The sequence below is a fragment of the Homo sapiens genome, chromosome 12 (genome assembly GCF_000001405.40).
Source record: "Homo sapiens chromosome 12, GRCh38.p14 Primary Assembly".
Classification (NCBI taxonomy): domain Eukaryota; kingdom Metazoa; phylum Chordata; class Mammalia; order Primates; family Hominidae; genus Homo; species Homo sapiens.
In genome coordinates, this window is record NC_000012.12 from 29,564,729 (window position 1) to 29,592,099 (window position 27,371).

General features: G+C 40.2%; 1 protein-coding gene across 10 annotated transcripts in view; it reads right to left on the bottom strand.

Annotated features, from left to right (window-relative positions):
• Window positions 1-27,371, bottom strand: part of TMTC1 (transmembrane O-mannosyltransferase targeting cadherins 1) — a 283,947-nt gene that overhangs the window by 63,916 nt on the left and 192,660 nt on the right. For 9 of the 10 annotated variants that reach the window (NM_175861.3, XM_047429634.1, XM_017020005.2 and 6 more), the window contains 2 exons: window positions 18,679-18,846; window positions 7,377-7,490 (listed from right to left, as the gene is read on the bottom strand). In NM_175861.3, the coding sequence (NP_787057.2) occupies window positions 7,377-7,490; window positions 18,679-18,846 (282 nt within the window). The remainder of the gene's footprint in view (window positions 1-7,376; window positions 7,491-18,678; window positions 18,847-27,371) is intronic. The other variant, XM_017020003.2, reaches the window with a different exon arrangement.

The following is a 27,371-nucleotide window of genomic DNA, read 5'->3' on the forward strand; positions in this document are numbered from 1 at the left end:
ATAAGGAAGCACACAGATGAATGGCAGGAGGAGGAAAACAAGAGATACAGACAGGCTCGGTTGTTTGTTTGTTTGTTTGATGGTAGGAGCAACTAGAGAATATTTAAATATTAATGGGAAAGTGCCAGGTGAAGGGGAGGAAGCAAAGGATTTAAACAGAGGATTATAAATAAGCTCTGAGAAACTGGAAATTATGGAACCTTGAGCAGAAAAGAAGAGATCAGCCTTAGGCGTGAAAAATGAGCAGGGTAGTAAAAGAGGAAAATCTGAATTAATCAGGGTTCTCCAGAGAAACAGAAGCAACAGGATGTGTATATTTACATTTAGGGAGACATTTATCCTAAGGAACTGGCTCTCATGATTGTGGGGGCTGGCAAGTCCAAAATCTGCAGGGTAGGCGGCAGGCTGGGGACCCAGGGAGGAGCTGCAGTTAGAATCCAGAAGGCAGTCTGTGGGTAGGATTTTCTCTCCTTCCAGGGAAGTCTGTCTTTTTCTGTTAAGTCCTTCAACGGGATGGATGAGGCCTACCCACATTCTGGAGGATAATCTGCTTTACTCAAAGTCTACTGATTTAAATGTTAATCTCATCCAAGAGGCACCTTTGTAGGAACATCTAGAATAATGTTTTACCAAATATCTAGGTATCATGGCCCATCCAAGCTGACATGAAATTATCCATCGCAAGTCTACCCCTTGCCAATCTAGCACTCAGGAAGAGGAAAAGATAGACGTAATTTAGGATCTTCTGCTATTGACGACATTTAGGTTTTACATTATACCTCAGTTACCTTTTAAAACATTCCAGGTAATTCACATACTTTAAAAACACAGTATAAGGCCAGGTGGAGTGGCTCACGCCTGTAACCCCAGCACTTTGGGAGGTCAAGATGGGTGGATCACATGAGGTCAGGAGTTCAAGACCAGCCTGGCCAACATGGTGAAACCCCGCCTCTACTAAAAATTCCAAAATTAGCCAGGTGTGGTGGCAGGTGCCTGTAATCCCAGTTACTTGGGAGGCTGAGGCAAGAGAATCTCTTGTACCCAGAAGGCAGAGGCCACAGTGAGTGGAGATCGCACCACCGCACTCCAGCTTGGGCAACAGGAGTGAGACTCCGTCTCAAAAAACAAACACAAAAAACCACAGTATAAAGAAGTTTACATGTAGCATTGTTCCATTCAACAAATATTTACTCAGTGCCATGTTCCTGGCACTCTCCTTCATGCTGGGGATAAGGACAAAGATTTCTGCTTTCATGCAGTTTACTGGGTAGAGGAGGGACACACAATTAACAAAACGATAGGTGAGTAGAGCGGAGGGTGATAAATGGAGAAAAATGAAGCAAAGAGGGGGAACAGGGGATGCTGGTGGTGCTTGTGGTCTTCAGTGGGGTGGCCCAGGGAGGCCTCATGGAGAAGCCGATGACACATATGAGGAGTGCTGAAGGGTGTGAGGGAGGCAGCCATTGAGGTAAGGGGGGAAGGGTTCTAGGAGGAAAGAACAGAACGCAGAACCCCTGAAACAGGAAGGTGATGTGGCTGGCATGCACGTGCCTGCAGCCCAGTGTGTCTGGAGCCAAGTAAGCAAGAAGAATAGCAGGAGGTGTGTCAGGGGGAGTAAGGGGGCAGGTGGTGCAGGGCGAGCATGGAGGCTGCTGCAGGGCCGCCCACTTTCCCCGTAAGTGAGGTGGGGTGGCTGGAGCCTTCTGAGCTCCAGATTGCTGTGAGTGGGGCTCCAGCGGGGCTGGTCTTGAACTCCTGACCTCATGTAATCCACCCATCTCGACCTCCACAAGTGCTGGGCCACCCCACTGAAGATCCCTGGGGCTGCTGTATTGAGAACAGACTGAAGGAAAGCAGGGCAAAGGTGAAAACCACAACACCAGTTAGGAGCATATTGCTGCGGTCTAGCTGAGAGGTGGAGGGGACAGTGGACGTGGAGGGAGGTGGTCAGATTCTGTGTGTGTTAGTCATATTTACTGAGCGTGTCATTGCCCTCATTGCTTACGGATATTGCTTTAAGTCTTTTATATGAATTATCTTGTAATCCTCCAACCCTATGAGGTAGGCAGCATCCCTATTCTCATTTTTAACAGAAAATCTCAACCCTATTTTGCTAAACCTGCCATATTTACTTATACAAGAAATCACAGCTGGTGTAAAGTTCCCCTTCAAGGCTGAAGTGCATATTCTCCCGGCTGCTAGGAGTGTTGGCTGCTGGCAGCTCAGAGTCCACCTCCTCTCTGGGAATTGCTCTCAGCCTCAGGGAGTTGCCTCCCCAAGGCTAGACTCCCGTCCTGGATGCAGCGATTGGTTGAAAGCGGGGTTTAAAAGTAAATCTCTTGCCTCCATTCATGACACCTCTAAGGGGACATCCCAGTTCCAGAGCTCCCCATGGGATCAGCTGAGGCCTCAGCTGGAACTGCATTCTACTCAACATCTCCTTTCTTCTGCTGCCCTGGTGTTCCCGAGGGTGCTCCTTAATAAACTTCCTGCTTGCAAATCTTTGCCTTGGATTCTGTTTTCTGGGGAACCATGCATAAGAGAGTTTTTAAAATGAAAAAGTGGTCTAAGATAGCCAGAAAAAGTGAAACTTTTCTGAAAATACATTATGGAGATTTCATTTTGAAATTCAGCTCATAAGTATGGCCACAATGTGACTTAAATTCGTTTTTTTTTTCTAAATGAAATAATGTTTAATTTCCTGAGCTCATGAATAAAACTGCCAGATTTAATTAACACAGCATATATATACTGAGAATGTAATTTCATCAACAAGAAGCAACAAAAATAATTTCGTGTCTACTTGTGATATTAGAAAGCATATTTGAGCTTTTATACATGAAAATACCACATCAGCTGAAGAACACATCTCCACCTGTTAAACCTGGCTAACAAATGGTATTGAGATTTTAATTCCTCCCAGAAATACATGGCAGCTGGTATCCAAGTCCACCTGTAGTCATGAGAGAGTTATCTTAAATGTTCACTTAAAATAGGCTGTGTGAAGGACTTTTTAAAATACTCATTGACTCCTGGTTTTTAAAACATGTTCAAACTTCACCCCAAGCTGTGCCTTAGGGTCTGCCTTATTTCTTCTGTTTGAACGTGACAGAAAATGGTTTTATAAACAGCATTATTAAAAGGAATTATAATAAAGTAGTCTTACTGATATATTCAAGACATCAGCAAACATTGGTTAATTAAACATGGTTAGATTTCTTTAGACTCTAATGATATGGTGTCTCTTCAGTACTCAATCCTTTATTACTTTCTTTTTCCACATACATGTACTGCAGCCTAATGCAATGTCCTTACAAAGTTCCTGTGATCCATATGGGAGGGAATACAAAGAATTATATCAGTAGGCACTATTATCATAACAAGTCTCTATGTTATGCATTAAACATTCTAATCAGAAAGATTTTAGTTCTACCCCTTCCCATGTGTTAGGCAATTAAATAGTGAGTGGAGATTTCTTTTGTATAGGAGCATTAAAAGCACAATACAAAATTTAGTTACACCGGGAGAAAAGAGCCTGGTCTTGCAAAGCGATAAAATTTAAGTGTGAAGAGGAATTATTTCTATGGAAAATAAGTAAATGCTCTGAAAATGCTCAAAAAGGAAAGAAGTTCAAAAAAATCACTGTTGAATTAGATGTGAGTGAAATAATTGTAAAAGACTGGAGGAGAAAAATCAGAAAAATCTCAGTCTACTCAAATTACATTGCAAATCTCTTTAAATTTTCATTCCAGTTTTAAATATCAAAACTGAGACTCATAGCAATGAATTATGGAGGTGCTTTTGCAGATTCTAATCAGAAGATTCTTACTTAAAGAGAAGGATTTGATTTGACATCAGAAGATTGGTGAATGGATGTACATTTGAAATTTCAGGGTAAAATAAAATACTCAAGCGTTTGCTTAATTTGTTTTATGATTCTCCATTTTTAACTGACTTTTTAAGGTATTTGACAAAGTACACACATGGCCAAGTACACATCAATATCTTGACTTTATTCAGGGAGAATCACTATTTCTCTTTCGGGGCTTATTAGCTGAGGCATTTCTTGGGAGTTTTTGTGTAGGAAGGGCTGACTTGTTGGGTGGTCTCTGGACTTTCTACTCCCATCACACAAGGTAGAATGTTAGAAACCTTCTCCAGGGTAACCGAACAGTCGGAGAGCTCTGGAGGTCTATGGCAGATCTGTCAGTGTTTTTCTGAATCTCCAGCATAGATAATCCCAAGCTTTATTATTACTGCAGGAGTAATAAATGTGAGAGCTGCCCCTCACAGCAAAGCAAAGCTAACACTTGATGTTTGTTGAGGATTTAAGAAAAGGGTTTTGACATTTTTCTTTGATGATTTGAATCTTAAACTGAATACGTGACCTTAGATGCAATATTTTCCAGGGGAGATTTCCCTTATACTACAGAAATATTATAAATGATGTAAAGAGGAAGGAGAAGTCAGTGACTTCTGCATTATTCAAAAAATAAAAAAATTTAAAAGAAGCAGAATATTCATGTCATACATAATTACTAACTTATTATAGTGCTATTTTTAGCATTGTAAGCCAGCCAAAAAGAGACTGGTATAGGTACAGCCCTTATGATTAATTTCACCATTGCCTTTGAGATCTATTCAGTCATTACAACAGTAATGGATAATTGCTGGAATTGATTTCAGATAATAGCGCCTTTAACATTGCATTTCCCTAATCACTCTCTTTCTTGCTGTGTGCAAATATGAAAAACATCAGATACTCTAAAGTTGAAGTAGAGGTGGAGCAGCTGGGAGGGAGAGGAATCCCTGTCTCAGCAACTTCCACAAAGAAATAGCAACATCAAAATAAAGGCAATCTTCCAGTTACCAAGGATAAATAATCATCAAAATGATGAATAGCTCTGGTATTTTCCTTTTCCCTCTAACACAAAGAGTGACAATCTATTTCTTAAAAAACAACAACAACAAAAATACCCACATCCGTTGAAAATTCACCACAGAGGTATCCACACAAAAATGATATTTTTAACCAGAAGTATTTTGAATCTAGTCTGAAAGCATAAACTCTTTCACTAATTACTATATGTAATATATTTATAGCTTTAATTGTTTTTCCCCATGTCTCAAGGGACATATTTCTTCCAGAAGCACAGTTGCTGAAGCAAACATTTATTTGTATTGTTTCACAGCAAAGAAACGGAAGTACCCAACCAGCTACTATAATTCTGTAAAATCAACTGCCAGAGAATTTTGTTTAATTTATACCTTTGCTCCAAGTTATGCCTGAGGGTCTGCCTTACTTTTCTTTTTGAACTTGACAGAAAATAGTCTGTTATAATAAAACCAATTAAAAAGATACTGATACATTTCCTACCAACCATGTAAGTTTCAGGCAAACTTACTGCCCTTTTTCTCCCTTCAAGAATGCCATCTAAAATTGATAAATAGTAATTAATTATTAAAGCCCAAGTATACTTTATATGTACCCTTGAAGGAATATGCCTTTTAAAAAATGACATTTCCTCATTGCAAAAGGAATAGATGTTCATTGTGGAACACCTGGAACACACAAAAAATTATAAAGGAAAAAATCAATCTATAATCTTACCCACCAGAGATAAGCATTATGAACATTTTGGAAACTGTCTTCCAATGAAAGAATAGAATTCTTGATTAAATCTTAAAAATGATCTTCTATTCTGTAATATAAAACTTCTTCAACAAAAAGCTTTGATACAATTATTCCTCTGGAACTTATAATTCTTGTAATATTTGGGAAAATATTTGATAGCAAACTTGATATCTACGGTTTAAAACTTCTGCCATATTAGGCCAGGTGTGGTGGCTCATGCCTGTAATCTCAGCACTTTGGGAGGCTGAGGTGGGTGGATCACTTGAGGTCAGGAGTTCAAGGCCAGCCTGGTCAACATGGTGAAACCTGGTCTCTGCTAAAAATACAAAAATTAGACGACCATGATGGTGCATGCCTGTAATCCCAGCTACTTGGGAGGCTGAGGCAGGAGAATCACTTGAACCTTAGAGGTAGAGGTTTCAGTGAACCAAGATCGTGCCACTGCACTCCAGCCTGGGTGACAGAGCGAGAGACTCCGTCTCAAAACAAAACAAAACAAAACAAAAAAAACAGAAACACCCCCCCCCCCCGCCAAAACACACACACAAAAACAAAACCAACTTCTGCCATATTTGCCATATTAAATATTAAGTAACAGGTCCTAAAGTCTAAAAGATTTTGATTGATAAGCAATATTCTTGTGTAAATGTAACAATGACACTATCAAAATAAGCCTTGAGACAATCCTAGTAGACACTTTAATGAAATGCATGATTTGGTTGGTAGACGTACTTTAAGCATATCCCAAAGTGAAACCGTTTCAGGAAATTCAACCAAATGTAGGCAACCAATCTGTGGAGGCATAAAAACCTCTTCAAAGGCTTCTGTGAGCATCATAGTATTTAATAAAAGAGAGGATTAACCTTGCTTTATTTTGCCTACAATTGGAGATTGCCAGGCTATATTTAGTTATTATGTCTCCATGTGTTGAAGGTTAAGTACATGTATTATCTGGGGTGTTTCACAGAAAACCATCTTGAAAGTCAGAGCTGCAATTCAAAAGAGTACCTGAAGCGGAAGTACCCAACCAGCAACTATAACTGGCTGGTTGGGTACTTCCGACTGGCTAGTTGGGTACTTCCGCTTCTGATACTAGCAGATTGCTGCTAGTAAGGCAGAACTTAAATTTTTAGTTTCTCTTGAAGCCATATCTAAGGATATGTATAGTATTCTCTCTTCCATTGGAAGACTATAAGGAGAATGTTAATACACACACACATACACACACACACACACACACACACAATTAACGTATCCCCAACATGGTAATCAATTGTCTTATCATTTTTTTTCTATTTAATACAACTTTCAGGGCATTTAATTTCTATACTCAAATGTCTTCATGGAAATAGTTTCAGGCATGGGATGTCTAGGGCTTTCTATATGCATACCATTAAAATTCATTGCAATAAATATCATGAGAACTTACCAATATATTTTTGACAACCAACTCTTGTTTGCACGTATATATTGAACTGTCAGTTCATCGTGTAATGTATAGCAATGAAAAGTTTCACAAGAAAACACGCAAGACTTACACGCAAGGTAGAGTTATTGCATTAATAGCAGACTTGAACACTGAGCCAAAAGACTCAGAGTCCAAGAGCTACCCCACCTCCAAGGATCAGTTTACTGTCAAGAGAAACAAACAAACTCCCTCTCCATATACTGGGAGGGCCAAGTGAAATAAACAACGGTCTTTAAAGCACCAAGGCCAACACCCTCCCTGTGTGGCGCTTACTTGAGAGCTGTTCTGTAGTGGTAGATCGCTTCCTTGTTCCGACCTTGGTCCTTCAGGAAATTGGCATAGTTGTAGTGAACCTTGGCATTGTGGGGCAGAGTTTGAACTCCAGACCTAAAATGAATAAATTTTTAAAAAGAATTATTTGACAAAGAATATTATTGTCAGATTCCTTTATGTTTTACTCAGTTTCATGAACCTGTATTTGAAATGTCCGTTGTATTCTAAAACAAGGCATTGTAGCCTACAAGGCTTCCAAAATTTACAAATTATATAATTTACTAAACGTTGCTTTCTATAGAAAACAATGGAGGCAGTATAGTGTTATGTATAGCTGAACAAGCATGCTAACTGTGTATGAACAAAATGCCCTTAGCATATAAACATAGGACCTTTGTTGTGCCAGAGACACAGCTGGAGTCTGGGTAAGGCTCTGTCGCTCTTCCTGAGGCTTTTTTTTGGGAGCATAGGAGGGTCCAATGGTATATCTGAGAGCACATTGTACAACATGAGACACACACAACCTTGCAATTAACAAGCCAATCTGGCTTTCCTAATTTATGGTGCAGGGAGCAGATGCACCCACACTGGGGCTGCTGCACAGATAGGCCCTGCCGAGGCTAATTACAAACGCTTTTCCTTCTAGGGAGAATTACAGCATTGGGCCAGCCGTTTCTTCCTTTTGCATCTGTCTCTGGAGCAGCCTTCTTTTTCATGGAGACTTGATGAAATACCCTAAGTGATCTCTGAGTGAACAATAAAGAACCAGAGGAAAAAAAAGATTTAATGGTTTTCATAAAATGAGAATAGCTCATAACCACAACCTGCTCTACAAAACATGAGATGTAACATGCAGTGTCCTCTATTCTCTGTCTTCTTTCTCTTTATTCTTTCTTGCCATTCTTGTTTCCTTCAATGTGGAAACCCATGCAACTGGTTAGTGTGAAAGACTCTCTCTCGCTCCCCTCGCATCTACAAGGTCATCGCTTCCTCCTTGGTATTGCACAGTACTCGGGGGTGCTGTGTTGAAAGGAAAACACATTCCAGATCTAGGAGTATACATGGGGACTCAGAAAGGCCCTTAGTTACTCAACAATGGAGGGTGATAAAGTCAGGCTTATTTGAGTTGATTATGACATGCCAGGCCCTCACATAATCTGTATGAATGAAAGTGGTGGAAAAAAGGCAAAAGTTAATGCAGGCCCAAGCAGAATCATTAAAAAGGATCAATTCCAGAAGTGAGATCGTTTGATGAAATCAGTTTGCAAGCATTTCTCTAAGCTGAAGTAAATGGTACAGTTGTTTATCATCTACATAGTGTCCCTTCAGTACCACACACTGTGCCAGGTGCTGGGGATACAATATGGTTAGAGTCCCAGCCCTCAGGGAGTTTATGAGGGTGAAGAAGTAGGAGGAGGGGATTACAAGATGACATGTAACAATAGGTGAGCAGGGTATCAAGGAAGCACAGCATGCTTATCCCAGAATGGGATCAAGAGGAGGCTTCCAGAAGGCAGTGAAGGTGAAGCTTAGACTTTAAGGATAAGAAGAAATGAAATTAGCCTCTGGAGGAAGAGGCAGCAGGAGGTCCTATGCAGAGGACCCCAAGAAAACAGAGCATGGGGCTTTTGAGGGACTGGAAGAAATTCAGAGTCGCTGGATCATGCTAAGTCTTAGCGTGGAGAGAGTCTAACGGGCCCTGTGAGTCACACTGGAGACTTCTCAGGGGGTTATCTGAAGAGCAGCAGAGAATCAGTGCAAAGTCTCCAACAGAAAAGTGAGGGACAGGGTAGCAAAAGAGAAGGACTGAGCAGTCTTCTGGCTGCAGTGCATGGAGACCTCCTGGGGGACTACTGAGGAACCTCAGAGAGGAGAGGAGAGGGAAAGGGAGGAAGTGGAAAGGGAGGGGATGGGAGTGGAGCAGAAAGAAGATGAGAGAAAGATAATAGTCAGAATTTCAGCAGGGGCCATAGGGAGGAACAGAAGGATTCGGGAGACATCCAGGAAGCAGAGGTGGCAGGTGGCAGGACAAGGTGATGGCTGATTCTTTGGAGAATAGCCCTGCATGTTCATGTCGATTCAGTTTTTTCCTTCCTCCATTCATTCATTCACTTATAGATTTCCTTCTTCTTCTTTTTTTAAAATTGAGATTGTCTACCAAAATAAATCATTACAAAAAGGATCACTATAGACTGGCCTCCCTACCAATAAGTTTTGTTGGAAATTAACCTTTCCCTATACTAAGCCTGGGCCAGTTTTTTTTGTTTTTCAAATGCAGGTATAATTATTCTACAGATAAGAAAATGAGGCTTTTCTCAGAGACATTAAAAACCTTGTTTAAATGGTCACTGTACTGGTCATCTCAGGCTGCCATAACAAAACACAAAACCCATAGACTGGGTGGCTTAAACAACAGACATTTATTGACATTTATTTCTCACAGTTCTGGAGGCTAGAAGTTCAAGATCAAAGTTATGGCTGATTCGGTTTCTGATGAGGGTTCTCTTCCTGCCTCGCAGATGGTCACATTCTAGCTATGACCCATATGGCATTCCTCGGAGTGTGCACACAGACAGAGAAAGCTCTGGTGCCTCTTCCTTGTTTTATACGGGCACCACCCCTACTGGATTAGGGCCTCACCCTTGTGACCACATTTAACCCTCATCACTTCCTCACAGGCCCTATATCCAGATACAGTGAAACTGGAGGTTACAGCTTCAATATATGAATTTGAAGGGATGCAAACATTCAGTCCTTATCAATCACCAAAGCCCAAGCTCTTAATCATGAGGGAGGGCCAGCAGCAAGAATAAGGCTGTCCAAATACCACTGAGTGGCTGTGCCTACAGGGTTTACTTTCTGCCTGATGCTTGTCTACCCTGGGGCCCATCTGCCTGGGGTGATACCAACAATTTGAAGATGATACGAGGAGGGGTGGGAGCAGGAAGGGATTGTTTTATCCTTTGTAGCTGCTTCAGAAACAATGTCCACAAGATCACACAGCTAGCAAGTGGTAGGGATGGGACTTGGACCCGAGGAGTTTGGTTCTAGAGTTTCTGTTCCCTCACCTGAAGGAAGGTGGCAGGGGGAATGATAAAATATAGACAGATGGATTTGAAGGCTATTTGGAAGAAAATTCCTGCAACTTATTTGGATTAAATGAGACAGGCAGACAACTGATGAGAGAGAGGAAGGACTTCAGGATGAGAACCTAGTTTCTGGGCAGTTGTATTTTAATGCACTAACTCTCTCAGATTACATATTTACATTTAGTTTTTAATTTCAAGGTCAGATTAAGAGGAGAATTCCATACAATGTGTTAAAGCCGTTGGGGAAGTATGTTAAGGCATACTTCCTCGTTTTATATGGGCGCCACCCCTACCTCAACTTTTGTTGAGCTTTTTAAAATAACAGCCCCCGAGAACTGAGCAAAGACTGCCCCACTAAAATCCACTGGCTGGGAGCTTGAGGACCTCTCCAGAGGAGGGATCTGATGGGCATCTGTGAAGCCAGAGAACAGCCAAAAGAAACAGACCATCTGAAAGCAGCAGACCCCACACTTACAGCTGCTTCAGAGATTTAAAACGCACCACAGTGAACATGGGAGTGCAGATATCTCTTTGAGATACTGATTTCATTTCCTTTGGGTAAATACCCGAGGACGGATTGCTGGATCACATGGTAATTCTATTTTTAATTTCTTGAGGACCCTCCATATTGTTTTGCATAATGGCTGGACCAACATACATTCCCACCAACAATGTACAAAGGTTCCCTTTTCTCCACATCCACTCCAACACTTGTTATCTCTTGTGTTTATGACAATAGCCGTCGTAACAGTTGTGGGGTAATACGTCATCATGGTTTTGATCTGCGTTTCCCTGATGATTAGTGATGCTGAGCACCTTTTCATACACCTGTTGACCATTTGCTTGTCTTCTTTTCAAAGATATCATTCAGGTCCTTTGCTCATTTTGAATCAGATTAGTTGTGGGGTCTGTTTTGCAATTTAGTTGTATGGGTTGCTTACATATTTTGGATATTAACCCCTTATTGGATATACAGTTTGCAAATATTTCATCCCAATCCACAGGCTGTCTTTTCACTTTTTTGCTTGTTTCCTTTGCTGTGTGGAAGTTTTTTAGTTTGATGCAGTCCCATTTGTGTATTTGTGATTTTGCTGCCTGCGCTCTTAGTGTTGTATCAAAAAATTCATAGCCAAGGCCAATGTCAAGGAGCTTTCCCCTTATTCACAATAGCCAAGATATGGAAACAACCTGAGTGTCTATGGACAGATGAATGGATAAATCATTTGTGGTATATACACACAATGAAACATTATTCAGCCTTAAAAAAGAGATACTGCCATTTGCAACAATATGAGTGAACCTGAGGGACACTATGCTAAGTAAAGCCAGACGCAGAAAGAAAAATACTGCATGATCTTACCTATATGTGAAATCTTAATAAATGAAATTGAACACAGAGAAAACGAGAATAGAATAATGGTTAGTAGGTGTGGCAAGGAGAGGAAATGAAGAGATATAGGTCCAAGGGTACAAATTTGCAGTTATGTAGATGACTAAGTCTAGAGATCCCATCTACAAAAAGAGGGCTATAGCTAAGAATATGGTATTGTATATTTTAAGTCTGCAAAGAGAGTAGATTTTAGGTGCCCTTACTATTAATACAAAAAAGAAAAAACAGGTAACTATGGAAGATAATGGATATGTTAAATTGCTTACCTGCAGTAATCATTTCACTGTGGATATGCATATCAAAACACGTTGTACACCTTAATTTTATACAATTAAAAAAAGGAAAAAGAAAGAACATGGAATAAAGAGGGTTGCTTCCTTTTTCTTTTTCTCTATTTTATTTTCTGTCTGAAAGAAGGATAAATAATATCATAAATGGTGTTGATGAAATTCTGGCTGCATGGAGAATACCTAAGGAGAACCAGCAATGCCCAATGTTGGCACCAGCTGAGGTTGATAAGATAGCCTGAAGGTTGTATGTTTTTAAATGTACAGATGCTAATTTTTTTTCTTTTTTAGCATATCTAGTGAAGGGCAATGTATTAACCTGTTAGGGGAGCCAGGTTTTGCTAAAAACAGAGATCAGCATCTATCTTGTGCTTTACCATTTACAAAGAGCTCTTCTGTGTTCACTCACTTAAACTTTGATGACGGGGTTCCACATCTCTGAACTGGCTTCCTTGGGGGCTGAGATGAGATGAGATCTACATTTGCCCTGTTCTCTGAACAAAACTTGCTGCAGACAAAGGAAAATACTCATGCTTCTCATGTACTAGAATGGGGTCCCTTCCTCTGCTTTTAAGAGGCATCCAGTAGCCAAGAAGGAAACATCCTCCTTATGGCCTAATGAGAACTTGTCACTCCTATGGTACACGGAATCAGAATCCTCGCACAACACAGAATAGGAGGACCCAAAGGATCCCTGGTGACCATTTCATTCCCTTTGTCTTCCTCTCATTTTACACAAGAGAGAGCCAAGCCTTAGAGAGGATCAGTGGTCCAGTCATAAGTGACAGTATTGCATTTCTACAACAGCCAAAGGCATTTCCTGTATAGATTGTGGATAGTTCTTTTCGGGGGTGGGTGCTGAAATACTAACACTATCTTTCATTTATGATACCTTTATGGTTTATAAAATATCCTTATTTGAATGTTAAAAAGCAACTAAAATGTATGACAAGTTGCTAGGATTTTAATATAATTTTTCAAATGATAGTATCCAACATAAATTTAGTCATATTGGCAAAATCCAGGTAAGCGTATTAGTAATGGCTTTAATAATCAAATTTCTATTAAGGAAAATTTCTGACTTTTTCTATCTAGAACTAAATAGTGCATGGTAGCAGTAAGTTTTGAAGGCAACTGTGATTATAGAAATGAATACAACTGGCATATTTATTGAAATTGATCCTTTTCTCTGTGTGATTAGCACAGTAATTCTAATTTATGTCCCACCCAAGGAATAGACAATTGGGTCTGTGGAAACATGGTCTCTGCTGAGATCAGGGCATTGTTTCATAATGGTAAGAGGAAGTAATAATGTTCCTAACAGGCAAGCAGAAGTGGGTGGAGTCACTAAAATCCTAAGAACACACTGCTTTTTCCCATCGTTGGTTTTGACCTTTATGTTCTCTCTGTGATATTTTTCTGCTATGTTTTTCTAGGCTCTCATTTCACAATGAACAGTTTGTGAAAAAAAGGAAAATAACAAGCCAAAGGCAACACTTTCCCTGGAACTTAACTGGCCAGGTCACTCTTCCCTCCAGGAATAGTCTCCCTGTTTGCTTTTTTGATGCTCCAATTTCATACTTCCAGTTATTATCATGGAAACATCCAGCTTTACCCATATTTATTCCATAGAGAAATACAATATTCATAAATTACATGGCCGAACGCGAAACCCTGTTAATAATTACAACAGTGATTATAAATAAACATCTCCCTTTCAACTCAGGATTTTAAATCCACGCATTTCACGTATCTCCCTCACACCTTTTATTGTGGAAGACTTGATAAATAACAAAAAAGCTACTTTAATCAGGTGTATCTCCAAGGTTTTAGAACATCAATTTGTTTTGTTGGCATCATTGGACAATAGGTCAGGAGGACCATCCCCAAATTCCTAATTGCAGAACAAACATGAAAAAAATACTTGTAGTGTTCAGTCAGAGGTTAGCAAAAAGGAAAGGAAGAAGAATTTGTGATTCTCCTCAATTTTGACCCCTGCCTTGACCTGAGATTTTATAATGCCACACACAGGATGGATAGTACTTATGGAATGCTTACTTTAAATCAAGTGCTGGGCTAAGCACCAGTTTCCATGGATCACTTCCTTTAGTCCTTGCTGTAACTTATCAAATAGGTAGTATTACGCTGCCTCCCATATTAGAGATGAGGAAACTGAAGCTCAGAGAGATTAAGACCTTTTTGTAAGGTTACAGACCCAATAAATCGTTGAGCAGATGTTTCAGCCACGGCCAGTAAATGGTCAGAATCAATCCTGAAGTTGATCAACATTTGATGCTTAACCAAATCAGTACCATAAGACCAAAGTAACATTAGAATTTCACTATCACAATGTATATATGATTGGCAAGCAAAACTACAGCCTATGGGTCACTAATGTGTCCATGTGTTTACATTTTGTCTTTCGTCTTTTCCCCAAGACAACATCAGAGTTACATAGTTGCAAAAGAGACTGTATGACCCGCAGAGCTTAAAATATTTGCTATCTGACCTTTACAAAAGAATCTGTCAGTACCTGGTTTATATTCTTTTCCCTGGGAGGTATTCTAAATTCTCTGCCTCAGCAATTCAGAGAAGGGGAAAGAGAACTACTGTTTTTCCTACAGAGTAGGAAGATGATCCAGGCCATAAATGTTAATTGCTGGTCTGTGGATCACTTAAACAGTTCAGGAATGGGATTTAGAGAGATCCTGAGCTGGATGCGAAAGGAAATATGTTTGTCCCTTTCTAGGTATTTTGAAGATTAGGAGAGGGAAGAGGGTTTAATCTAATCAAATTATGCTATTATGGTATTTATTTACTCCAAACAAATGTAGGGTTCTGGGCTGTCACTAGGCCCAACCAGAGCTATGCGGTGATCCACCTACCAGTTCAGCACATAAAACAGCTTCTTACTGTAAGAATTAAAGAAAATATGCCTTGCAGCTATGATCATAAATCTCTCTCTCTGCTTATACTTGAGCTAGCTTAGGTTAAAACACAATGTAAAATATAGGAATGGCAAAGTTTATGCACCTTTTGATTTTTATACCAGATTTGGGTTCAAATCTTGGCTTCTGTAAAGGTTATTTCAGCTTAGACAATTTACCCTGTCCACACCTCTGATAATACACAAGTGCTGGGTTCTTGTGCTTTTTGTGTGTAAGGTTCTTGCTGATAGAAAAAGTTTTGGCCAGGCACATTGGCCCATGTCTGTAATCCCAGCACTTGGGGAGGCCAAGGAGTAGAGACCAGCCTGGGCAACACAGTAATAACTGTTCTCTACAAAACATAAAAAAATATTAACCGGGTGTGGTGGCACACACCTATAGTCCCATCTCCTCGGTAGGCTGAGGTGAGAAGATCGCTTGAGTCTGAGAGGTCAAGGCTGCAGTGAGCCATGATCACGCCACTACACCCCAGCCTGGGTGACAGAGTGAGACTTTGTCTCAAAAATAAATAAATGAATAAATAAAATAAAATAAAATTGTGTAGGAACCCTGCATCTGTATCTCCTAAAAATACATCACACAGTGGGATCTTTTGTGTAAAAGGAGGCCTCAGCTGGAAAGGCTGGAGCTTGACCAAAATTTGTACTTTCTCCAACACAAAGTTCTATCTTAAGATACTCTGTAAGATTGCTCATGGAATGGTCAGGCAAAATCATCCCACATAATTAGAGAGGCCTCAGTGAGGCTATATGTTTTAGGAATGGTCTATGGTTTATTGTTTGGAACAGAGGGGAAGATGGAGTCTCTGCCAAGGGCATCACCATCTCTAGAATTATTGTACATTTTTCTTACTCCACTCAGCTGGCTCCTGTTTTGGGCCATTACGGCTAATTTAGGTTTTTCTCCTCTTTTAATACTCAGCTCAGACCTACAAGAGCATGATCCTTGACAGCCTGAGTTGGTCTTAGTCACCTACCCACCTACCTGTACTTATATAGTGTTCTGGGTTTAACACTATATTATAATGAAATATGTTCATGTGTCTGCTTCCCATGCAGATTCCCAGCTCCTCTATGCACATTCTCTCTCTCTCATCCTAGAACACACTGCACAGTAATAGTCTGAAAACCTTACACAGCGTTTCTCAAATGCCAGAAACTGTCCTGTGCATCTCTCACATACTATTTTATTCTTACACTATACTCAGGAGATAAACACGAGTATTTTACATTGTAAAATGAAGAAATTAAAGCACAGAGTGGATAAGTAACTTGCCTAAGATCACACAGCTATTCAATGGCAGAACTTGGAGTAGAGCCAGAAAGTCTAACTCCATACCCTGCACCCAACCACTAACCTTAATGTGCCTCATAGATTCTCAGTAAATGTTTGTTTGACTGACCTGAACATTACTTAGCACAAATGAATTCATAAAAACATCTGTTCTGGCCTTGAAGGAAAAAGAACAGTCTTAATAGTCTTTTAAAGTCTCAGATTCTTAAAAGTTTTCTCAGGACATAGATAAATGATAATAGGCAAAGATTTCTAGAAAATATCAATAGCTTTGATTTACACATTACACAAAATTTGATTGGACCACCAAAGGCCTCTTTAGTTGCAAAATCTCTTTAAGCACGAATGTGGAATGGTTGTGTTTTAGAAATCAATTGATGTGAAGATACTACATACTTCCATCTAAAACAATAGAAGCTTCTGGATGCAAGGCCAATCAGCTATTTTTTTTTCTTTTTTTTTTACATCTTTGGCATCAGCTGTAAAGGGTTTGAGTACTAAGTCTGCCAAAATCCATTCCCAAAGTTGCTCTGATTAAGCAGTCAACATCATTAGAAAATACAACCACTGTTAGTACCTTTATTCAGGCAAAAGGTTTAGCACAGGGCAGAACTGTTTCTAAAGATGCTCGTAAAAGCTCTGACTAGTGAAAGAGAAAGGAAGAAAAAACTATGCCAACAGAGACTCGGAGGAAGTTATATTACTGAACTTAAATACTCCTGTGTTTACCGAATGACCTTAGTTAGCATGAGGCAGAAGGAAGGAATGAGTCTGTTGTGGTCTGTGAGAATCGTGTTTAATAGAAAGGGGTATGACAGGGACTTAACAGAATCTAAGAGTGATTTTGCAGATCTGTGTGGAAAAAAAAAGATGCATTAAAAACAATCCACACAAAAAACTCTACATTGAGCTCCCTACAGTACCCGCTGAAATGATCATAATGACGATCATGACAATGATATGTAATACGTAATAATACATAAATAAAGTAATAGGACATGCATGCCAGACTGACTTTTTGTTTTATATTTTAAAAAATGTCAAATTGCCAAGTAAAATCAAACACATTATTTTAAAATAGTAGAAGAGTGCAGTGAACCTTTGTCTTATTTGTTCTTTCACTCATTCATTCATATTTGGCAGCCCAGAGATTATTCCCCCTTCTTACAGTGCTTGGATTTCCTGCTGGGAACTTCCCTCTTGCCTCACTTTGAGAAGTCTGGGTGGAACCCCAAGGGGCTCTGCCTGCCCTAGCTCCCTCCATGGAACTCAGAGGAGGCTTCTTGGTCAGATCAGTCCTCTCAGTGCCTTGCTAGGGACAAGGGGCAGGCATGTGACTAATCTTAAGTTCAGCCAAAAAGCTTTCTTTTCCTAAGACTTTGATGTGTACATCCAAAAACCTGGTGTTAAGTTTACCTGTTTGTTTCTGAGAGGGTGCTCAAGACGGATTTTCCAGATGCCTGTTTCCTGTCTTGGGTGTGCCGGGTTCTTCACTTCCCTTAATTCTGTATGCCTTCCTAGCCTCTTCCAACAGTTTCCCCTTTCCTTAAGTGATATTAGCTCTGCTTCAATTGTTTGCCCCCAAAGAATAAGTGTTGGGTACCAGCTAATCAGGAAACCAAGAAAAAAATCATGGTGACTAAATTGACCAATCAGGTCATAAGTGAGGACAGAAGCTTGGAAGAGGCCCAGACTGGGGATTCCTGGAAGACTGGGCAAATATTGTTTGGGTGTCAGGTGTGGCAGTGCCAAGAGAGCCAGGCGAAGGTCGCCAGGGCTGCGGCATTTAGTGAGGCTGACTAAGCCCCAGAAACACAGCATCATGAATGGCAGTCTCAAAGAATGTTCAAAATTAATGTTCAAAATAAAGCAACTAGGTCACAGATCACAGCGTATCATGCTGGAATATTCTAAAGAAGGATACTGCATTTCTCTTCCCTCTGGCTGTGTGCTCACTTTTCACATGCACTTCTTGGTTTCATTTTGTTTATAGCTGATTTTACAGCCCTGCTCATCATTAAAACTGTTTCCATCTGAATTCACAGACTCAAAAACTTTCCCAGGAGCCTTATTTTCATAAATTCACTTAGAAAGAGCTCATGTTAAGTTTTATATATCATTTTAAAAATCTAAAGTTAAAACCCCACATAAAATTACATCTTCCATTTAAAACTTTATTAAAGATAATTTTCCTTAGTAAATACTGCCAGGCCCATGTTACCTCATTTGTTTGGAAACAATTTGTAAGCAAAGAAATAAACAGGAAGATATTTATTTTTATCTGTCTAGTCATACCTGAATAGGGACTCTCTTGACAGCCAAATTTCATTCTGTTTCACAGTTTTCCAAGAGAAAAGCAACAGCAGCAACACAGTGGACACAATCAGGGTGGTGGCCCCACATCGATTCAGCCAAGTGCAGAGCTTGCTCAGTCCATGCACAAAAAGGATGCAGTAGCCCATGCTGGAAAACAGGGTGGAAGGAACGGGATTACTTTGGGGGTGCAATAGCTTCCCCCCAGAATTATCTCCTACAAAACTAACTTTCAAATGAAGCTTGTCCTGTGCTAGAGAAACAAATAGAAACTCCCCTGCCTTGGACAATATTAACATGTTAGTTCTCTAAAGTGCTGCACTAGCAGGTTTGCTATTTCTTGTAGAAATATTTCTTGCTATTTCTTCAGTGTAGGGAATGAGAGAGTCATCTTGTAGGCTTAAAGTGCCCTGGATTTCAGCAGCTGAGGCATCATGAGAAGTCCCACATATAAGCTCTTGGGTCCTGAATGGCTCCTCTGACCCAAGCTCCCTCATGTCACTGTCATTGTATGACTCTATTGGCACTATGCGCCTAAATTCGGAGTTTATGCTGCAGCAGGTCACACCACAGCTTTGTAGGGAGAGTGTCTGAAAGCTCTGTGTCAGGTCCTGGAAGGATGCTGGTCACCAAGGAGGACTGTTCTCTGTTTCCAGGGCCAGCTGAAGCCCTTACACTTTGGAAAATCTACCCACAGGCCGACTCCTGAGCCTCACAACTTGGAGCTCATCACAGACAAGATGCATTGATATGCCTAGCTGTACCGGTAGGTGCAGGGTTAACATGTTATCTGAGTAGCACTTTGTATATCAGCATTACGTCTCTAAAAGCCTTTGGCTTGGTGCTACATGGTCCCTCACATCATCTATGCACCAACAGAGATACTTTCTGCCTGCCACTTGGACACAGAAGAATATAAACTTGTAGTTTGTACCCATTAATGCTGTATGTATTTTAGTTGAAATCTATTTTTATTTTATTTTATTTTTTCTTACTTCTTCTTTTATTCTTTTTTTTAAATTTTATTATTATTATACTTTAAGTTTTAGGGTACATGTGCACAATGTGCAGGTTTGTTACATATGTATACATGTGTCACGTTGGTGTGCTGCACCCATTAACTCGTCATTTAGCATTAGGTATATCTCCTAATGCTAGCCCGCCCCGCTTCCCCGACCCCACAACAGTCCCGGTGTGTGATGTTCCCCTTCCTGTGTCCATGTTGTCATTGTTCAGTTCCCAGCTATGAGTGAGAACATGCGGTGTTTGGTTTTTTGTCCTTCTGATAGTTTGCTGAGAATGATGGTTTCCAGCTTCATCCATGTCCCTACAAAGGACATGAACTCATCATTTTTTATGGCTGCATAGTATTCCATGGTGTATATGTGCCACATTTTCTTAATCCAGTCTATCATTGTTGGACATTTGGGTTGGTTCCAAGTCTTTGCTATTGTGAATAGTGCCACAATAAACATACGTGTGCATGTGTCTTTATAGCAGCATGATTTATAATCCTTTGGGTATATACCCAGTAATGGGATGGCTGGGTCAAATGGTATTTCTAATTCTAGATCCCTGAGGAATCGCCACGCTGACTTCCACAATGGTTGAACTAGTTTACAGTCCCACCAACAGTGTAAAAGTGTTCCTATTTCTCCACATCCTCTCCAGCACCTGTTGTTTCCTGACTTTTTAATGATCGCCATTCTAACTGGTGTGAGATGGTATCTCATTGTGGTTTTGATTTGCATTTCTCTGATGGCCAGTGATGATGAGCATTTTTTCATGTGTTTTTTGGCTGCATAAATGTCTTCTTTTGAGAAGTACCTGTTCATATCCTTTGCCCACTTTTTGATGGGGTTGTTTGTTTTTTTCTTGTAAATTTGTTTGAGTTCATTGCAGATTCTGGATATTAGCCCTTTGTCAGATGAGTAGGTTGCAAAAATTTTCTCCCATTCTGTAGGTTGCCTGTTTACTCTGATGGTAGTTTCTTTTGCTGTGCAGAAGCTCTTTAGTTTAATTAGAACCCATTTGTCAATTTTGGCTTTTGTTGCCATGGCTTTTGGTGTTTTAGACATGAAGTCCTTGCCCGTGCCTATGTCCTGAATGGTATTGCCTAGGTTTTCTTCTAGGGTTTTTATAGTTTTAGGTCTAACATGTAAGTCTTTAATCCATCTTGAATTAATTTTTTGTATAAGATGTAAGGAAGGGATCCAGTTTCAGCTTTCTACATATGGCTAGCCAGTTTTCCCAGCACCATTTATTAAATAGGGAATCCTTTCCCCATTGCTTTTTGTCAGGTTTGTCAAAGATCAGATAGTTGTAGATATGCAGCATTATTTCTGAAGGCTCCATTCTGTTCCATTGGTCTATATCTCTGTTTTGGTACCAGTACAATGCTGTTTTGGTTACTGTAGGCTTGTAGTATAGTTTGAAGTCAGGTAGCGTGATGCCTCCAGCTTTGTTCTTTTGGCTTAGGACTGACTTGGAAATGTGGGCTCTTTTTTGGTTCCATATGAACTTTAAAGGAGTTTTTTCCAATTCTGTGAAGAAAGTCATTGGTAGCTTGATGGGGATGGCATTGAATCTATAAATTACCTTGGGCAGTATGGCCATTTTCACGATATTGATTCTTCCTACCCATGAGCATGGAATGTTCTTCCATTTCTTTGTATCCTCTTTTATTTCATTGAGCAGTGGTTTGTAGTTCTCCTTGATGAGGTCCTTCACATCCCTTGTAAGTTGGATTCCTAGGTATTTTATTCTCTTTGAAGCAATTGTGAATGGGAGTTCACTCATGATTTGGCTCTCTGTCTGTTATTGGTGTATAAGAATGCTTGTGATTTTTGTACATTGATTTTGTATCCTGAGACTTTGCTGAAGTTGCTTATCAGCTTAAGGAGATTTTGGGCTGAGATGATGGGGTTTTCTAGATATACAATCATGTCATCTGCAAACAGGGACAATTTGACTTCCTCTTTTCCTAATTGAATATCTTTTATTTCCTTCTCCTGCCTGATTGCCCTGGCCAGAACTTCCAACACTATGTTGAATAGGAGTGGTGAGAGAGGACATCCCTGTCTTGTGCCAGTTTTCAAAGGGAATGCTTCCAGTTTTTGTCCATTCAGTATGATATTGGCGTGGGTTTGTCATAGATAGCTCTTATTATTTTGAGATACATCCCATCAATACCTAATTTATTGAGAGTTTTTAGCATGAAGGGTTGTTGAATTTTGTCAAAGGCCTTTTCTGCATCTATTGAGATAATCATGTGGTTTTTGTCTTTGGTTCTGTTTACATGCTGGATTACGTTTATTGATTTTCGAATGTTAAACCAGCCTTGCATCCCAGGAATGAAGCCCACTTGATCATGGTGGATAAGCTTTTTGATGTGCTGCTGGATTCGGTTTGCCAGTATTTTATTGAGGATTTTTGCATCAATGTTCATCAAGGATAGTGGTCTAAAATTCTCTTTTTTTGTTGTGTCTCTGCCAGGCTTTGGTATCAGGATGATGCTGGCCTCATAAAATGAGTTAGGGAGGATTCCCTCTTTTTCTATTGATTGGAATAGTTTCAGAAGGAATGGTACCAGCTCCTCCTTGTAACTCTGGTAGAATTCGGCTGTGAATCCATCTGGCCCTGGACTTTTTTTGGTTGGTAAGCTATTAATTATTGCCTCAATTTCAGAGCCTGTTATTGGTCTATTCAGAGATTCAACTGCTTCCTGGTTTAGTCTTGGGAGGGTGTAAGTGTCGAGGAATTTATCCATTTCTTCTAGATTTTCTAATTTACTTGCGTAGAGGTATTTATAGTATTCTCTGATGGTAGTTTGTATTTCTGTGAGATCGGTGGTGATATCCCCTTTATCATTTTTTATTGCATCTATTTTATTCCTCTCTCTTTTCTTCTTTATTTTTTTATTTTTTTTAGACAGGGACTCACTTTGTCTCCCAGGCTGGACTGTAGTGGTATGATCATGGCTCACTGCAGCCTCAACCTCCTGGGCTCAACTGATTCTCCCTCCTCAGCCTCCCCAGTAGTTGGGACTTAGGTGTTCACCACTACACCCAACTAATTTTTGTATTTTTCTGTAGAGATGGGGTTTCGCTATGTTGCCCAGGCTGGTCTTGAACTCTTGGGCTAAAGATCCACCTGCCTTGGCCTCCCGAAGTACTGGGATTACAGGTGTGATTCTTCCCAAAATTGATAACTACAAATTATTACAGAATATCTTAAGAAAGAAGCAAGTTTGTGTAAAGCCATCCTATATTGGAGACTATTACTATCAGAAGTATTAATACAGCCCCAAGTAAATACAGCCCATATACTTGTTCTCTTTTTTATTCATTCTTTCTCTTATGTGGCTGGCAATATCCTAGGCACTAAACATATATTTATAATACAACACAGGCTCCACAATCAGACAACTCCAGTCTAGTGAATCAGGTTGCTCTAGCTAATAGAAACAACTAAATATTCTCATTCCTAAACACACCTCCTTAAAAAACTTTTTTCTCCATCTTCTGTTCTCTGTATCAAGAGCAGAAAAACAAGAGAGAGGCATTTGAGGTTTCTGACTTGGGAGACCCTGGGAATGAAGTTGGAGCTCTCATTTCTTTCTTCAAGTCCTATAAGTTGGTTAGTCCAGCTCCATAAAGTTTAGGGTTCATGGTTTGGCCAAAGAGAGTCACCATCCTACTCCCCACTGAGGAGGATGATTTGAGCTAAGGAGACCCATGTTCTCCAAACCCCCACCACAAGCACTGGATTTGATTGCCACAGGTATCTTGCAAGAGCCTTGCACTTGTCAGAACAGAGTCTCTAATGTAAAAACAAAAACCCAAACCAAAAACCTCTTCTCACTTCCACAACTCCCTGGTTCAACCTTAAAGGTATGGAGCTTTTTCTATAAATCTTATTTATATTGTACAACTGACCTTGCTGGTGTCATTTGCTGTGCCTGACCACAGTGGCTGCTCAAGTTCATAAGCCTGCTTTGCCCCCTGTTCCTCTAGCCCCAGCTGCTCCCAACCCAAACTGAGCAGGGCATCCTATGAAGCCCTCTGGGCTCCGTTCTTTCATTCATCAGATATTTAACAAACATTTAACTATGTACCTAACACTATTACAGATATCAAGAACATATCAGTGAACCAAAGAGACAGTAATCCTTATCCTTGTGGAATTCACATGGGTAGGGAACAACAGCTAGCGAATGAGTAAAAAACACACAGGGCATGTACATGGTGATACATTACATGGATAAAAATTAAGAAGAGGAAGAGGTTGAGATTTTCATGTGGGTGGTCACAGAAGTCCTCACTGACATTTGAGAAAGACCTGAAATGCACAGGGAATGTGCCACGCCGATACATCCTTAAAACCCTATGGATCACCTTTATTAATGTTTAACCCATGAAAACACTAAAGAAAAAGGTTAACTGACTTGCTGAATTAAGTCTTGTGATAGTGTTAGGTCTTGGGACCCCAATTGACTATGCCAAAAGGAAAAAAAATTCTTGGGACCCCAATTGACTATGCCAAAAGGAAAAAAAATTAAGTTGAAAGCTGAATCATGCAAGAAACTACCTTTCCTTCTGTTCCTAAGCAGTTAGCTACAGATAAAAGCTTAACTATCTCCACAGATAGCTACTCTAGGTTCACCTTATCTTATGTAAAGCCCCGATTTACTGAGCGTGAGAAGAATACATATTTGACTATTCCCCTATCTGCTCCTTTTCTCTGGCAACATGTGGATTCAGTCATGTGACCATACATTCCCATTTTTCCCTCCAGCCTACTTTTCCCCTTTAAATACTAAAGACCTCAAAATCACCTTTGGAGAAAGGCACAGACTGCAGATTGTTTCTGTGATTCTGTGTTCCTTTCTTCCAGGCATGTCCTTAATCTTGGCAAAATAAATCTCTAAACTGATTCAGACATGGCTCAGATACTTTTTGGTTTCTAGGTCATCCATCTAATAAATAACAGAGCAAAGATATAAACCCAGGAATTTCAGATTCCAGAGCCCACACTCCATGTGCTGTCCTGCTGTAGAGGATTTGACTTGACCAGCTGATTCCTGTGTTCCTAACACCTCATCACACAACATCACCTACTTTCTTCCCAACTACTGCATTCATGACATCTCAATAGTCATTTTCTGCCTCCTTGTAGGAACAGAGCTGCCATCTGGTAGAACAAAGGGGAAGGAGAACACTGGGATCCCAACAACTCCAGAGCAATGGCCACAAAGTGGCAGAAGACAAGCATAAGGAAGCTAACAACACAAACATTTAGCTGCAATATATGTTTGCGTGTCTAGTGAGCACTTCCTGTGCGGTAGGCACTGTGCTAAGTGGTTTGATGGGCCTGTCCACAATATTTGCAGGGCATGCGGGCAAGGACAGTACTGGTTTTAAATATATTATCTAATTAAAAATTTTAAACCTCATTATCCTCCATTTCATAAATGAGGAAACTAAAGCTTAAAAGAGTTGAGTAACTTGCCCACAGCCCCAGAAGCTAGGAATGGGCTAGATCTGGAAGCTCAGTGCCCTAATGCTGTGCTATAATCTAGGGGTTGGCAATAATTCAGGCTTTTCAGCCCACGCAGTCTTTGTCGTTAGCATTCAACTCTGTCTTTGTAGCAGGAAAACAGCCATCCACACCATGTAAACAAATGAGCATGGCTGTGTAAAATTTATTTATAAAAACAGGCAGCAGGCCACATTTGGCTCATGGGCCATATACAGTAACAAAAAAAAAAAAACCTTTATCTGAGGAATGAAGCCCTTTTCATTATCAGGCCCAGAGAAGCATTAAAATGAGACTGCAATCACATCCTATTCCGCTCTTTGAGCTATGTATTCATCTTTTGAAACTGATTGTTATTGCCACAAGTGGCTATAAAGTATCCTAATAACACCACACAAGACACTATAACCCACACCCTGCAGCTTAACAATGGATAGCCAACACTAATCAGCGTGATTCAATGTAAATCAATGAGAATTCCTGACAAACAACTTTGTATCAGCCCACTCCCTGTCCCCCCTTTGCCTTTAAAAATCCACGTGTGGCCAGGCATGGTGGCTCATGCCTGTAATCCCAGCACTTTGGGAGGCCAAGGCGGGCAGATCAGGAGGTCGGGAGTTTGAGACCAGCCTGATCAACATGGTGAAACCCTGTCTCTACTAAAAATACCAAAATTAGCTGGGCGTGGTGGTGCACGCCTGAAATCCCAGCTACTTGGGAGGCTGAGGCAGGAGAATTGCTTGAACCCAAGAGGCAGAGGTTACAGTGAGCTGAGATTGTGCCACCGAACTCCAGCCTGGGTGACAGGGTGAAACTCCGTCTCAAACAAAACAAAACAAAAAAACAAAAACAAACTAAACAAAACCCACTTGTAACTGCTGCTAATTGGAGTGTGTAAATTCAGGGCAACTTGAATCTATTCTGCTGGGTTGGGATCCTCAGCCTTGGCCCAAATAAACTCCCTGCTTTATTAATTTTGCCTCAGCTTCTTCCTTTTAGGTTGACAATAGTTTGTGGATCCCTGCTATAACCAGAATGAAGGAGAACACATTCCTTTTCAGTCAGCACCTGTATCAAATAACATGAAAAATGTTAAATCAAATATCCTTATTATTGACATATGGTTTAAAGAAATGTTAAGCCATACAAAATAATCTCTACTTAGGTTTGCAAATTTCTTAGAGAGTATCACATTCTTAAAAGTCTGACACAAATATCACAAAGATCAAGACGTTTCTCCACTATGAAACTTCATCTTTCAACATCTGCTTGAATGCAGATCTCAGCAGCAGGGGAGAGAAACGCACTCTTTCCCTCCATCGCTAGGGGCAGGACATGGCCTCCTTTTGAAAGTGGGAAGTCAAGCCAATGAGAAACGACATGCTTTCCTGGCCTTTGGGGAGATGAAACCAGAGTCCGGCTTGCTCTGGTCAGACTGGTGAAGGAGGTTCTGGGCTGCTGATCAGAGACCTTCACTACACGCACAAAAGAGCCAGTGCAAACACTGACACTTCACAAAATCAAAACCTGGAGAGCCCAAAGCCAAACTCAGGCTGCTGACAGTGTGGTTTAGCTCAGTGCTAAGATGCATTTTCAAAGCACGTTTGAGAAAGAACCACCACTGCTGCCTTCGAGAATGTAGCGATCTGACACTCAGAGACACCTCTCTCCATAACAGGCTGGTGGTATCTCCAGTTTTGATTTTGCTGACACACTGCTAGGCATGCAGCACTTAAATAACTAAAAACACTGGCATTTCTCTTTCTGCTTTTATGATGCACATTCGAAGAGAATTTAATAGGAAATGCAAATCACCAATGTTTGTCCTTTTGCATTAGAATAACAAATGTTTTAAATCTGTTGTTTGGGAACTTGTTAGCAGCGAATTGTTGTGTAATAGTTAGTACAAATGTACTTTCCTGAAACTCACCAAGAAGCTTTTAAGTGAAAACAAAACAAAACAAAACAAAACACTTCTCATTCACATTTACAGCAGAATTCACAGAAGTGGAAAGATGACAGCTTTCTACCTCTGGCTCAGACATTTTATGATATTTGCTATGGCTTCACTTTCTGTTGAATTATATGCAACAAAGAGTATCTTTCTGCTATAAGTAGAACTGAAATTCTACCTTTTA